At 48.9% G+C, this 13826-nt stretch overlaps 1 protein-coding gene across 26 annotated transcripts in view, besides 4 other annotated features; it reads right to left on the reverse strand.

Annotated features, from left to right (window-relative positions):
- CTBP2 (C-terminal binding protein 2) overlaps positions 1-13826 on the reverse strand; it is a 178147-nt gene that overhangs the window by 96813 nt on the left and 67508 nt on the right. For 11 of the 26 annotated variants that reach the window (XM_047424671.1, XM_047424675.1, XM_047424672.1 and 8 more), the window contains one exon: positions 7062-7190. The exons of the other annotated variants lie outside the window; for them this stretch is intronic. The gene's annotated coding sequence lies outside the window, so the exon portion shown is untranslated. The remainder of the gene's footprint in view (positions 1-7061; positions 7191-13826) is intronic. 26 annotated transcript variants of the gene reach the window in all.
- Positions 422-1250: an enhancer, noted in NCBI's record as "H3K4me1 hESC enhancer chr10:126770120-126770948 (GRCh37/hg19 assembly coordinates)". NCBI's record gives its function as "activates a minimal SCP1, AML or CMV promoter by ChIP-STARR-seq in primed H9 embryonic stem cells {active_cell/tissue: H9 hESC(primed)}" and the evidence as "EXISTENCE:reporter gene assay evidence [ECO:0000049][PMID:30033119]".
- Positions 1251-2078: an enhancer, noted in NCBI's record as "H3K27ac-H3K4me1 hESC enhancer chr10:126770949-126771776 (GRCh37/hg19 assembly coordinates)". NCBI's record gives its function as "activates a minimal SCP1, AML or CMV promoter by ChIP-STARR-seq in primed H9 embryonic stem cells {active_cell/tissue: H9 hESC(primed)}" and the evidence as "EXISTENCE:reporter gene assay evidence [ECO:0000049][PMID:30033119]".
- Positions 3735-4562: an enhancer, noted in NCBI's record as "H3K27ac-H3K4me1 hESC enhancer chr10:126773433-126774260 (GRCh37/hg19 assembly coordinates)". NCBI's record gives its function as "activates a minimal SCP1, AML or CMV promoter by ChIP-STARR-seq in naive H9 embryonic stem cells {active_cell/tissue: H9 hESC(naive)}" and the evidence as "EXISTENCE:reporter gene assay evidence [ECO:0000049][PMID:30033119]".
- Positions 6219-7045: an enhancer, noted in NCBI's record as "H3K27ac-H3K4me1 hESC enhancer chr10:126775917-126776743 (GRCh37/hg19 assembly coordinates)". NCBI's record gives its function as "activates a minimal SCP1, AML or CMV promoter by ChIP-STARR-seq in primed H9 embryonic stem cells {active_cell/tissue: H9 hESC(primed)}" and the evidence as "EXISTENCE:reporter gene assay evidence [ECO:0000049][PMID:30033119]".

The following is a 13826-nucleotide window of genomic DNA, read 5'->3' on the forward strand; positions in this document are numbered from 1 at the left end:
CCCAACTCCAATCAGGAAAAAACACAGGACAAACTGAACTGAGGGCCATTCTACAAAATGACTCATCTGCTCTCTTCAAAAACATCAATGTCATGGTACAAAGGAGGACAAGAAACGGTTCCAGATTAAAGATGACTAAAGAGACAAGGAAACCAGAGGCAACGCAGAATCCGAAGTTTCTTTTGCTATAAAGGATCTTATTGGGACTACTGGCAAAATCAGTAAGATCTGAATATTAGATATGATTATCAATGTTAATTTCCTGACCTTGATACTTGTCTTATGTGAAAGAATGGGCACTGTGTTTAGGAAAAATTAACTCCTCCATCCCTAAATACTTTAGCCTTATATATTTGCAAATATCTCAGAGGGATCTGAAGATTATATACTCTGTGCGTGTGTTTCTGTATATGAGAGAAACACAAGCAAATGTGGTAAAATGTCATTTGGAGAGGCTAGGTAAAGGGTAATTAGAAATTCTTTGTTCCATTCTTACAACTCTTCTGTAAGTCTGTAATTATGTCAAAAGAAAAAGTTAAAGGGAAAAAAAAAATAGACATGAATGGCCACAGTGATTGTGTTCAAGTTTTAGAATCAAGATTGACTGATATTTTCCCAGAGAACCCAAATTTTTGCAATGTGATTTCATTACTCTTTAAGGTAAACTACCAAAAATAAAGTAAGAGTCACAGCATGTCAGGGGCGCTTCAGATGGAAAGACAGGCGGGTCAGGCAGGGCAAGGTCCCAGGCCTCCTTCTGTCTCTGCTGTTGGCTGCTGCAGAGGAAGTGGCCACCGAGAACCCACCCTGTCTCTACCCAGGCTCAAGTATCCAAACCCCAGGCCAGCATGGTCAGCGCTGCCCAGGGGCAGGCTCTGTACCTGCTGCTGTGTGCCAGAGAATTCCACACGGCCACAGTACAGTCCAGAAACCAGCCAGAACCAGCCCGTGGGCAAGGGAACAGACCTGAAAGTCACAAAGCTTGGCGTGCCCTCCCTGATGGCCCAAGGTCAGGGCTGGCCACGCCGGAGCTGGGGGCTGCCCTCCTCCCCCCAGGCAGCCTGTCTCTGCAGGCCGGCTCCGGGACACACTGTCTTCAAAATCCCCATCCATGCTCCTTACAGCCAGTGGACAGCCTCGCCTTGGAGATGTGGCCAGATGGGCTGCCTCTTAAGTCCTCGTCCATGCTCCTTACAGCCAATGGGCAGATTCACCTTGGAGATGCTGCCCTTCTGGCCTCTCTCTGGAGAAGACAAAAAACTCAGTAACTTCCCCAAAAAGCTCCTGCTTTATGTACTGAACTTGTACTTCCCACTAAAATCAATTATTAATAAGATTTAATAGGCCTCTTGCCTCAGGTATCATTTCCAGCTAATTTTTACTCCCCCATGAGGAGAGTATGGTGGCTGCACAAGTCACGTTTGCACACTGTATCCATGATCATTCTGCCAGCTTTCCTCTTTTTTTTTTTTTTTTTTGAAACAGTCTTGCTCTGTCGCCCAGGCTAGAGTGAAGTGGCATGATCTCAGCTCACTGCAACCTCCGCCTCGTGGGATCAAGTGATTTTCGTGCCTTAGCCTCCTGAGTAGCTGCGACCACAGGTGCACGCCACCACACCTGGCTAACTTTTTGTATTTTTGGTAGAGACGGGGTTTCACCATGTTGGCCAGGGTGGTCTCGAATGCCAGACCTCAAATGATCCGCTCGCCTCGGCCTCCTGAAGTGCTGGGATTATAGGCGTGAGCCCCTGCACCCAGCCTTTCTGAGAATTTTCACAGGACATATGTCCAGCAGGCCTCGGCATTACCTTCTACTCCAGAAAATTCAGCTCAGAAGCCAATGCTCCAGGAGAGGGTTTCCCAGAGCACACCAAGCAAGATTTAAGTGCCCTCTCTCTCTGAGCCAGCACAGGGTCCATCTCTCTGGGGGGTTGGTCCCCACCAGACTGCAAGTACTGGGAGGGGATGGTTATCCCCTTGGCTCTGCAGCCAGCGGCTGCTGCAGAACACGTGTTGGACTAAATAAAGCTAGACTTAAATTCTGCCTTCACGTCGCAAGTTTACATCTGACACCAACAACGTAAGACCACCAGGGCCAGCACGCATTCTCAACATACTTTCCAAAGCTGGAAAAAAGCACAGCCAAGTCACTCAGAAAAGCCTCTCTTGATTTGGCTTCTGGATAAAAAAGAGTCTCCCTGTCGTGCCAGATGGGGTCAACTACTCGGTGAAAACAGAGGCCCATTCCACAGGCACCACTGCTGAGCCTCTGAGTTCCCAGGACAGGGCTGTCCGAGGACACAACACTGACAGCCATGTGCAGACCCCCGACCTGGGCGAGGATACCGCCCTCTGAGACTCAGTCGCCTGTCTACAAAAAAGGAAAAGATACCACATTACCGTGACCATCTAGTCTAATGAAAATGCCACCAGGATCAAAGACCATAACGCAAAGCCCTCTGTTTGCACCTTAGTCCGAACAAGCACCCAGGATACACTCGCTGTTGTTTGTTTGTTTGTTTTAAGGCAGGATCTCACTCTGCCTCCCAGGCTGGAGTGCAGTCTTGACCTCCTGGACTCCAGCCGTCCTGCCACGTCAGCTTCTCAAGTAGCTGTGACTGTAGGCACGCACCATCACACCCAGCTAAAGTTTTTTTTGTTTTGTTTTTTTGAGACGGAGTCTTGCTCTGTCATCCAGCTGGAGTGCAGTGGTGCGATCTGGGCTCACTGCAACCTCCGTTCCCTGGTTTAAGCATTTTTCCTGCCTCAGCTTCCCGAGTAGCTGGGATTAGAGGCATGCGCCACCACGCCCAGCTGATTTTTGTATTCTTTAGTAGATATGGGGTTTCACTATGTTGGCCAGGCTGGTCTAGAACTCCTAATCTCAAATGATCTGCCCGCCTTGGCCTCCCAAAGTGCTAGGATTACAGGTGTGAGCCACGGCGCCTGGCCCCAGCTACGTTTTTTGATTTTTTGTAGAGAAGAGAGCCCACTATGTTATTTTATTTTTTGTAGAGATGTTATGTATGTTGCCCATGCTGGTCTTGAACTTCTGAGCTCAAGCAATCCTCCTGCCTTGGCCTCCCAAAGTCGTGGGATTACAGGTGTGAGCCACTGTGAGCCCAGCCGGCTGCTGTTTAGAAGTGCATCACAAAGGATGCCTTGAGGGGCTTGGGGAACATCTCAGGGAAGAAGCTGCACGGAGAACGGTCCAGTCATCCTTCTATTTCGAGCCAACAGCAGCCCCGTGGAAGGAAAGGTGACTAAATGAGAAGGAATGTGACTCAGAGGGAGGCGCTCTGGAGGCCTCTGTGCCTACCCCAGGAGGGGCTGGCCTCTAGGTGGAGTCCCTACCAGTCCGGAGGCTCCCGCCCAAACCTTCCCCATCCTCTCTGGGAAGGGAGGGCGTGAGGAGGTGGTCCCCTGGAAGCCACCTCCCCAGCCCTGAGGTTCACACCACCTCAGTCTCAGGGGTCCGGGGGTGGCCCCAGTTAAAACATGGGTTTCCAGACCAGTGAAGCACTCAGAAGCACAGCCCTTCTCCTTGCCCGTTCTGTGTCCCCTGGCAGAGGGTGGGTCTGGTATCTGTGTAGCAGGTCCTGACCCCACCCAAGCAGCAGCAGTGTCCCAGCACCCCCGCCTTCCTGACCCACCGGCACTCTTTCCCACCAAGACGCCTTGAGATCCCCAAAACACGTCTCCACTGCTGCCCCAAGTCTGCCCCCAAAGGTTTGGCCTTCGCCACCTGTTACTGCCCAGGCTTGACACACAGCCATGAGTTCCGCCGTCGCCACGTCAGCAGATCTCTGCCAATGTGTGCCTGCCCTTGAACATTTCCCCCAGCTCTAGGCAAACAAAGCCCTCTCCTTAGCAACAGCTCACTGGGCAAAACCCAAAGATGACCCGACCTGGCGCACCTCCAGCACTCCAGGTCTTGGCTCATGACCATGGGACTGCGACAGAAATTACCTTCAACCCTCACGTCACCACCCATCACCCAAGCTGCGACACCAATACATCAGCAGGAGAAATGAGGCGGATTGCAAACAGCTGCCGAGTTCCAAGATAAAGAGTTTTATTTTGGTGGCTAAGGGGAAAAGTAGAGAAAAGCCGCCAACATTTTTACCAACAGCATAATTATATGAGAGAAAACTCCCTCCTTTAAGATTCCTACGCTGCCCTGACAGCAATTTAAGCAGCTGAGAAAAGATGGTGAAGACAAAGTCATTACGGCAGGATCCCGTCTCCTTCCTGTACACACGCCTGACTCTCTGTAATGACAATGAAAGAAAGCTCTGCGGGCATATGGCAGGGGAGCCACCTCCGTGTGCAACAGCAGTTGCATCAAGTCTTTAGTGCAGGATTTAGCTGTCTTAAAGATCCTATTAACCAGAGACAATTTCCATCCCAGGCTCCAGGCAGAGCTGGGAGCTTTCCTTCAGAAACGAGGGCGAAGAACCTCCAACAGTAAGTTTTCTGCGGGCGCTGGAACTTCCAGCCCAAAGCCTTCAGCAAATCACTCCATGGGGAAATCTAGTCCTGTCAGCTTTAAACTGGCCACCTTGCATTAACAGGGACTCTCGCAGCTGGGGTGTGGGTAATCTCAATGCACAGCTCTGCTACTATATGAGTTCACTCAAATGATCCCCTTGTTTCTGCTCTTATGCCTTCCAAGCCATTTTCCAGAGACACCCAGGAGGATTCTCACTGGAAACTGAAATGTGATCCTAGCCCAGTGTCTGGAAGCTCTCCAGCAACGCCCAGTGCCTTCGTGGTCAAGATCCGGGTCTGCCCTCACAGGGCCACAACCGCACTGGCTCCTGCCCTGGGTACAGCCCCTCGGCCTCCAGACCTTTCCCCAGATGCCCCATGGCTGGCCTCCTCCTGCCACGCCAATCTCAGCCTCCCCACAGAGAACCACTCCCTGTGTTCTCACCAAAGGGTCCCCTCAGTCCAAAGTATCTCTCTGGTCTTAATGTTTGTGTCCCCCTGCAAATTCCTATGCTGAAAGCCTCATCCCCAAGGTGGTGGTATTAGAGGGTGAGGCCTTTGAGTGGTAATTAGATGATGAGGGTGGAGCACTCATGAACGGGATTAGTGCCTGATGAAAGAGCTCTTTTGGCCAAGGCTCGGTGGCTAATGCCTGTAATCCTAGCACTTTGGGAGGCCGAGGTAAGTGGATCACCTGAGGTCAGGAGTTCGAGACCAGCCTGGCCAACACAGCGAAACCTCATCTCTACTAAAAATACAAAAATTTGTCGAGCGTGGTAAACTTTGATCCAGCAATCCCTGTAATCTCAGCTACCCGGGAGACTGAGGCAGGAGAAAATACAAAAATTTGCCAAGTGTGCTGGTAATCGGCTGTAATCCCAGCTACTTGGGAGGATGAGGCAGGAGAATCGCTTGAACCTGGGAGGTGGAGGTTGCGGTGAGCCGAGATCACACCACTGCACTCCAGCCTGGGCAATCGAGCAAAATTTTATTTAAAAAAAAAAAAAAAAAAAAAAAGGAAGATCTCATTTGACCCTTCCACATAGCGAGAGAGTACCGTCTCTGAACCAGAACTTGGGCCCTCATCAGACATCGAATCTGCTGGCATCTTGGTCTTGGATTTCCCAAGAATTGTGAGAATTAAATTTCTGTTGCTATGAGCCACCTGCTTATGGAATTTTGTTATAGTAGCCAAAGCAGACTAAGACAACATGCTCTCCACTTGACACTGAGAAAGCCAGGCCCTCAGGGAGGGGGCTCCGCCTCTAGAACACAAGTTCAGTGGGAGCGCGGCCACTGCACCTGCGGATCCTGAGGAACAGTCCACGACACACACGTGCGCCCACACACACGATCTCTGAATGGATGGATGACTGAGTCTGAAGAGATCATGAGCCAGCCCTGATTCTTCAGCCCTAACTTCAACCTTGAAAGGAAAATTTGGGCAATTTCTTTCTTTTTTTTTTTTTTTTTGAGACAGAGTCTCGTTCTGTCACCCAGGCTAGAGTGCAGTGGTGTGATCTCAGCTCCCTGCAACTTCCAACTCCTGGGTTCAAGCGAGTCTCCCGCCTCAGCCTCCCGAGTACCTGGGATTATAGCCTGCCACCATGCCCGGTTAATTTTTGTATTTTTAGTAGAGACGGGGTTTCGCCATGTTGCCCAGGCTGGTCTTGAACTCCTGACCTCAGGTGATTCGCCCACCTCCAGCTCCCAAAGTGCTGGGATTACAAGCATGAGCCACCGCGCCCAGCCAAGGGACATTACTTCTTAAGTACAGAAGCATCAGTGAAGGTCAGTGGCATGATGCGCTGGGCCGTCCTCCACAGGTTATTATAAAGAAGACATCCATGAGGACGAATGTCCACACCTGCCAGGAAACACTCCCCCAGTCCCCCTGAAGGGCAAAGGTCTGTCTTCCAAAGAGCCTGGGCCTGCTCCTTTTGTCATTCTACTGGCCCAACACCCACTCACATGTCTCTCATCCCCCCACTTAGTCCTCATTTTCTCGAGTCCTTCAGTTTGACCAACAATCAGACCCCACATCTAGGAGTGTGCTGAATAACTCAGCTTTGTTTAAGCACAAGAGGTCTCTGGGATGCTTCAACGCCGACTCCCACAGCATGCCACAACATGCCTTGTGGCCAGGCGGCCTGACTGCAGCTCACAGCATGTACATGCTCTCTCTCACTGGTGGACAGCTTATGTGGCTTTACAAATTTTCTTGATTTACAAGAACTGTGCTTCCTTGTCTCCCAACCCAGTTCTGCCCTCTGGAACCGGTTGCCTCCCCATTTCCTGGAACAATACTCCAAGGACAGGTGCTTCTTCTCTGGGCTCAGCAGCCTCGGGTGCCTGAGTTACTTTCCTGCACCGTCCATTCCCACCTCCTTCGGTGAGCTCTTCAAATGGTCAAGGCACAGCTCACATCCGGCCCTGGAATCTGACCCAGGACGCCAGCCCACAGAGAACTGTCCAGGATGCTTGAGAGCCTATGGAGCCACCAAGAGCTAAACTGAAAAGGGACAAAAGATCACAGGAGATCCTGTCAAGACAACTGTAACTGGTACGTACTGTGCGTCGGAGATACTGTACGATGTCATTCAAGAAGCTCACGGAACAGCACTGCAGTCGGCAGGAGTAACAACAGAACCAGGATAGTGGAAGGAAGTTGGCAAGGGGCGTGGACCGCTGTGGGGGATTCTAAAGAATGAAAAAGGGATGGGAGCGGGATGACCTGTGCAGTTAGTACAGATGATAACCATGACCCCAAATCAAGAGTTATAAACATACAAAGAATGTCTCTTTACCACTCAAACGATGACAGGAGGCATCAAGGCAGCCACTTCTAATACCCGCCATGCAAACTGAGGGTTTTCTTTGATGCTGCTGGTCATCACTCAATCAGCCTCAGAGCATGCCATTTATCAATCAATGCAATGGACAAGCTGAAATCACCCCGGATAACCTCAGGATTGATCACTATTGCTCATTACCTTCTGAACTGCAGGGAATGAGTCCACATCACCTGAAAATGTCTCTCTCCTGGAAATTACACAGTAAGTGTTTCCGTTGGCTAGAAATCAATAGCCCTACTCAACGCCTAACAATTGAGTTTTGTTAACGGGCATACAAAAAGAGGGCGAAGATCACACCCTTCATACTTCCCACTTCTCACCACTGTGTAAACCCACCTGCCTTCAAGAACTGCACCAAATTCGGAGACCTAGTTGGGAGATGAATGCCCCAGAGCTCTCTGTCCTCCCAAAGAGAGTTTCATTATCAGTTCTTCCAAGCCAAAGATCAAGATGAGATAAATACCAAACAGAACCATTTCACTTTCTTCATGCATCACGTGTGTCTTTTACTCTAGCTGGGATTCACAAATTCGGTTGCGAAGATATAAAATCAGTATCAGAGACACAAAAGCCATGTTCTAATTTCTTTAATAGGGTAAGAATAACATCTCTCACAAGTATATTTGTCACTTATGCCTCAAAACAAGCTGCGACCTACATAGTATTTCAGAGCCGTATGACATGCTGCAAACATTTTTTTACTTTAAAAGACGTGCTCTCGACAATAAATTTTAGGCGAGAATAAAAGTTGCTTTTTTCATAAGTGTAAAGGAAAACAAACATTACCAATGGGATTTTGTTTTTCAACATCTGGAGATTCTAAAGTACCAGAGGTTGACACAAAAACTTTAAATCAAAGTAATGAAAATGCCTGACAGAATCAGTGAAATTATTTTGTGAAAGAGCCGACCAAACTGGATGACAGTTGAACTTCCGAAGTCACGGTGTGGCTCAGGGGGAGCACAGGTGTCTAGGGGAGGGGTCAACCTGGAGCTATTAAAGGACCCTTTTGTCAACCTAGAGCCTCCAAGAACAGTTTCTGGCCACTGTTTGGGCTGTTTCTCTTTCTGAGTCTACACATTTGCAAAGTGTGCAGATCAGGCAGGCACAGCTCAAAGTGGCTGAACACACCCAGAAGGACCAGCCAGAGAATGTAAGATGTGCAGGCGAGAGCAGCTGGGGAGAAAAGGATGCTTCCAGGAGGCGGAAGCTGGGCAGCTTCCAGGACTGAACTACACATGCATTTCCTGCAGAGTCCTAGCTCAATCCTTGACACACAGCAGGGACTTAATAAATGTCTGCTCCATAGCATACACTACTAGTATTTGCCATCCAGCTGACCAAGGGAATGGCCTAATGGGTGGGACCATGTCACAGGAGGGTTCTCATCTTGGCCTCTGTTGGCTCAGTTTCATATGCCCCTCCCCTGGAAGTCTGCACACTGATGTTGTCCTTGGGAACACTTCCGACTAGGCTGCACCCTTCGTGTTTGCTCCACTGGTGGGAACCTGGGGGCCAAGGGGCCCCAGCAGTCAGCACCAATGCAATAGTCCTTGAAGATCACGGCCAAAGCTATACTTGCTCTGGACAGGTAACTCCCCCTTTCATGGGCAGGGGTGGTAAAAGGAGCAAGCAGAAGCAAAAAGGAATTTTCCTCTAAAAACAGAATTGCTGAAAGGCACTTAATAGAGGGATAGGGGCCAGACACGGTGGCTCACACCTATAATCCCAGTACTTTAATAGGAAGAGGCTGCGGTGAGCCGAGATCATGCCACTGTACTACAGTCTGGGCGACAGAGAGTCCCTGGCTCAAAAAAAAAAAAAAAAAGGTTGGGGGGATGGGATTTGGCTGAAACATGAAACAGTGAAATGCAAAGAATGTATCATAACTGAATATGTATCATAAACTGAATTACAGACTTAAGATATTTTATGTTTATAAATGATTTCATAGAAAAAATATGGAATAATAATGGTTATTTAAAAAAAAAAAAAAAAGCTGAGGAGGGCCAGCGTGGTGGCTCACACCTGTAATCCCAGCACTTTGGGAGGCCAAGGTGGAAGGATCACTTGAGGCCAGGAGTTTGACACCAGCTTGGGCAACATAGTGAGACCCGACCTCTACCAAAAGTTTAAAGATTAGCTGGGCATGGTGGCATATGCCTGCAGTCTCAGCTATTTGGGAGGCTGAGGTGGGAGGACTGCTTGAGCCCAGGACGTCGAGGCTGTAGTAAGCTGTGCTGGCACTCACCCTGGACGACAGAGCAAGATCTTGTCTCAAAAAAAAAAATAAATAAATAACAAAACAAAACAAAACAAAACTGGGGAGATGGGGGAAAATAACCAACCACACTGACAGCAAGTTGGCAAAGTGCTTACGTCTCCAAGCACTGGTCCATGTAATTTGCAGGTACTAAGTCATTTATCCTTTACAAGCTTATAAAACAGGTACTATTATTACTTATATTTAAGGAGGAAATTGGCGCAAAGAAAAGATCAGCCATTTTCCCAATGCCACACAGCTACCAAAGGCAGAGGCAGGAATTGAGCCCAGGCAGCTGGATGCTAGCATACATGGTTCTGCCAAAAGAGACAATTGAAAAAACAAAGGATATGACTTAACACAAACCAAAACCATAGTAAGTACAGATTCCACTTAGGTAAAATCCTGGGTGTGCACACATGCCCAAAGGCAGTAAGAGGGAAAGAAAAGTATTGGAGAGGCCTACTGGTCTGCAGAGGTATCTATGCACAATCTGCCATATCGAATGGGAATGCAGGAGTAACAGGACTCCTTTCGGTAAGCCAACACAGACACCCTCCGTATGCTCAGATGCACTTGTACGTCCTGGTAAAGGCAAGGAGAAAGACAGTATCTGAGGACTGGGGAGGGAAGGTAATCAGCTCTGTCTTCGTAAATCTTGCATTGCACTGTTCCCCTCTTCAACAAATGCATGATTCCTTTGGAAGCATCAGGGTGACCAGCTATTTTATTCCCTATTTAAAAAGTAACATAGGCCAGGTGCAGTGGCTCACACCTGTAATCCCAGCACTTTGGGAGGCCAAGGCAGGAGGATCACATGAGCCCGGGAGTTTGAGACCAGTCTGGGCAACACAGGGAGACCCCATCTCTACAAACAAACAAAAAATTAGCTGGGCATCGTGATGCATGCCTGTGGTCCCAGCTATGTGGGGAGCTGAGGCAGGACTGCTTGAGCCCGGAGGTCAAGACTGCTGTGAGCTGTGACTGTGCCACTGCACTACAGCCTGGGTGACAGAGTGAGACCCTGTCTTGGAAAAAAACAAAAAAACCCAAACATATATTCATTACAGAACATTTGGGGAGGAGGAGTGGGTATGGAAAAAAAAATCACCCAAAATTCTACCAACTAAAGATAATCACTATGAACTGCTCCTCATCAGCTTTCCCCCATGATTATTTTTATGGTTCTATTCATAAATGTTCAACATTTGATATTGAAGCTTTTCATTTTAAGACAAGCATTCTACTTATTTCAAACTGTGAAGGCATCATTTGAAAAAGAATTAGCTGTTTTCCCACTGTTGGATGCTTGAGTCATCTGTCTTTTTGCTGTCAAGTAACACCATAACTAAAATCTTGGTGCATTAGAGCTTTCTTGGCATTGGGTGGGGAAGGGAGATTACTAGGTCAAAGAGCATGGTTTCCTTGTCTGAAGATTCTTTTTTTTTTTTTTTTTTTTTTTGAGATGAAGTTTCCCTTTGTTGCCCAGGCTGGAGTACAGTGGCATGATCTCTATGATCTCTGCTCACTGCAACCTCTGCCTTCTGGGGTCAAGAGATTCTCCTGCCTCAGCCTCCCTAGTAGCTGGGACTGCAGTCACGTGCCATCACACCCAGCTCATTTTTGTATTTTTAGTAGAGATGGGTTTCACCACGTTGGTCTCGAACTCCTGACCTCAAGTGATCCATCCTGCCTCCACCTCCCAAAGTGCTGGGATTACAGGCATGAGCCACCACTCCCAGCATTCCTTGTCTGAAGATTCTAATGGATTACTTCATAGTCACAATCTATGACAGTAACTTATCTAACCTTCTTCCCACCCGCCACCAGCAAGTATGTGGGGACAGATCTGGACAGACACACACACGGGCATGGCGGCCTCATCCTACAGGGTTAGTTCCATAGTAGCAAGTCAGGCCCCGGGGGCAGTGGAGTAGAACAGAGTGGTGCCATCGGGAGGTGGTGACGTCACCAGGCAGCAGGTGTCCTGTCTCTGGATAAGCCCATGTTGGGCCACACTGTTTCTTCCAGAACGTACCCAATGTGGGCACTGGCTTACGTTTAGGAGCAACGACTTCTACAACATGCCCAGTTACCACATGAGAGCGACACCCAGTGAGATGTTCACACAAAGCATGGCACACACAGCGCCAGGAAAACAGCCCGCCTTCTAGAGTGGGGGGGGGCAGCACGTGCTTCCTGAGTTTAACGGTGGCCCATGGCCCATCTCAGGACCCAACACCAGCCCCAACCGTTACGTGGTGCTTGAATGGCACTCAGAACGCGCACTCAGTGCCCAGCGACTCCAGACCCCAAGCTGACCGTTCTCTTTACTGCCTCAGTATCTCAGCCCCCTTCATCTGCACTGTCCAAAGCCTGCTCAAGTATCAGAAGCTGTTTCCTTCGTCAGATCCATCCTGCGTGCTTTCTACATGAGCATCTTTAACCTCTAATGCTGGGCTGAAAACAACTCAGTGTTTTGGAAAGTTAAGTTTTCTACTCCAGCAATCTGAGGGTGGGGACATCCACAGGAACCCTGCGGCCCACAAGGAAAACAGAAGGCAGGCTTAATCACTGAATTCTCACTGAAGAATTCCAGCGGCCAAATGTCCTTTCTAATCCTGTGTGCTGTTCTGAGAGAACATTCTAGCCACTTCTTTGTATATGTGAAAACCACTGCAGCAGGTCCTATTTTGGGCAGATTTTCCACATTAAAAGGCACAATGGTTAAAATGATCGTATGATACACCTCCCACCCACGACACTTTGTTTAATTCAAACTCAAATACCAAAGCAGGAGAGTCGACTGTTTACCACACTTGAATTTATAAATGGCCTTCCTGCCCATCACCCAGGCTGCCCCACCCCCTCCCTTCTTTCGACACAGCTGGGTGGGAATGCAGTGACCTAATATCACTGGACAGATAATTCCTTGCCTTGGGGAAAGACTGGCAAAGCCCACGGCATCTGCCATTTCCAATCTACTCCTCGGAATGGTAAGTAGGGGCTTGTGCCAGGACGCTCAGGGGGCAGCACAGAACGCGCGCAACCGTGGCTGGAAGTGAAAATGTAAAAACCCTCCCACGGCCTCGCTGGGAGTCACTGCTCTGCATTGGAAAACCCGGGTGTTTGATTCAACTAAATCATCTCAAAGCCTGCACTGGAGAAAATAATTGAATTAAAGAGTTGCTATAACTCATTCAAGTGAGATAAAAACCATCCAGTGGGAGGCGAGACGGCAAGGCAAAGACACTGCTGCTAGAATGTGCCGTCTTCTTGAGATTGCGAGGAGAAACGCAATATAATGTGGTTCAAAGGACAGATGGGACTTTCCTAATTGTCCCCAGATTCCTAGCAGCAGGGGTGGTAACTAAATGGTTTCAATTAAAAGTTAAAGAAACAGAGGAAAGCAGGCGGTAAGTTACGCCTGGTGCTGATAAGCCTCATTCGGATCAGTCTCAGGGATGCTTTGTCCTGATTTCAGACAGCCAAGTGTCAATGGCACACAAGTGGTGGAGCCATCCCAACATGTCACCCTGACAAGGTGACAAATAAATCTGTCTGTCAAATGCACTGTCATGAACACCCATGTGAGCATCATGGAGCCAAGCACCAGGCATGTGGCGACGGCTCAGAGCAGGGCCCTTCCATCTGCAATCAAGGAGAAAAAGGGACGGACGCAATCGCTAGAACACAGCCCAAGGAAGCAACGATGATGTGGGGGTTACGCACCTCAGGGAGGACGCTCCACCTCTGACAACGGCTACAGGGTGGTTTCCGTGCCAAGCACGGTATGGCTCAAGTACAGTGTGACAAGGGCCATGGAATCAACTTCTACCCCTTCACCAGGGGCTCTCAAGCAGGGGACACTGGGCCCTATCTGGCGACATCTCTGGTCATGCCGGGGTGGGGAGGGAGGCAACACTGGCATCGGGTGGGGAGAGGCCAGGGATGCTGTTGAACATTGTATGATGCACAGGACAGCCCCCCACAATGAAGAACCACCAGACCCAAAATGTCAACAGTGCCAAAGTAGAAACTCCTGCCTTAAAGGAATCGTAAGTTGAAGTCTCTGAAGTTCCAAACTAGAAATGCTGAGAAATGGCTGGGGCTGATTACCGGCAATTTTTTTTTTTTTTTTAACCAACATAGGACATAAGCAATACGCTGAAAGGGACAAGTAAGTGCATCAAAAAAGCAGAACAGACGACGAGCATG

The sequence above is a fragment of the Homo sapiens genome, chromosome 10 (assembly GCF_000001405.40).
Source record: "Homo sapiens chromosome 10, GRCh38.p14 Primary Assembly".
Classification (NCBI taxonomy): Eukaryota; Metazoa; Chordata; class Mammalia; order Primates; family Hominidae; genus Homo; species Homo sapiens.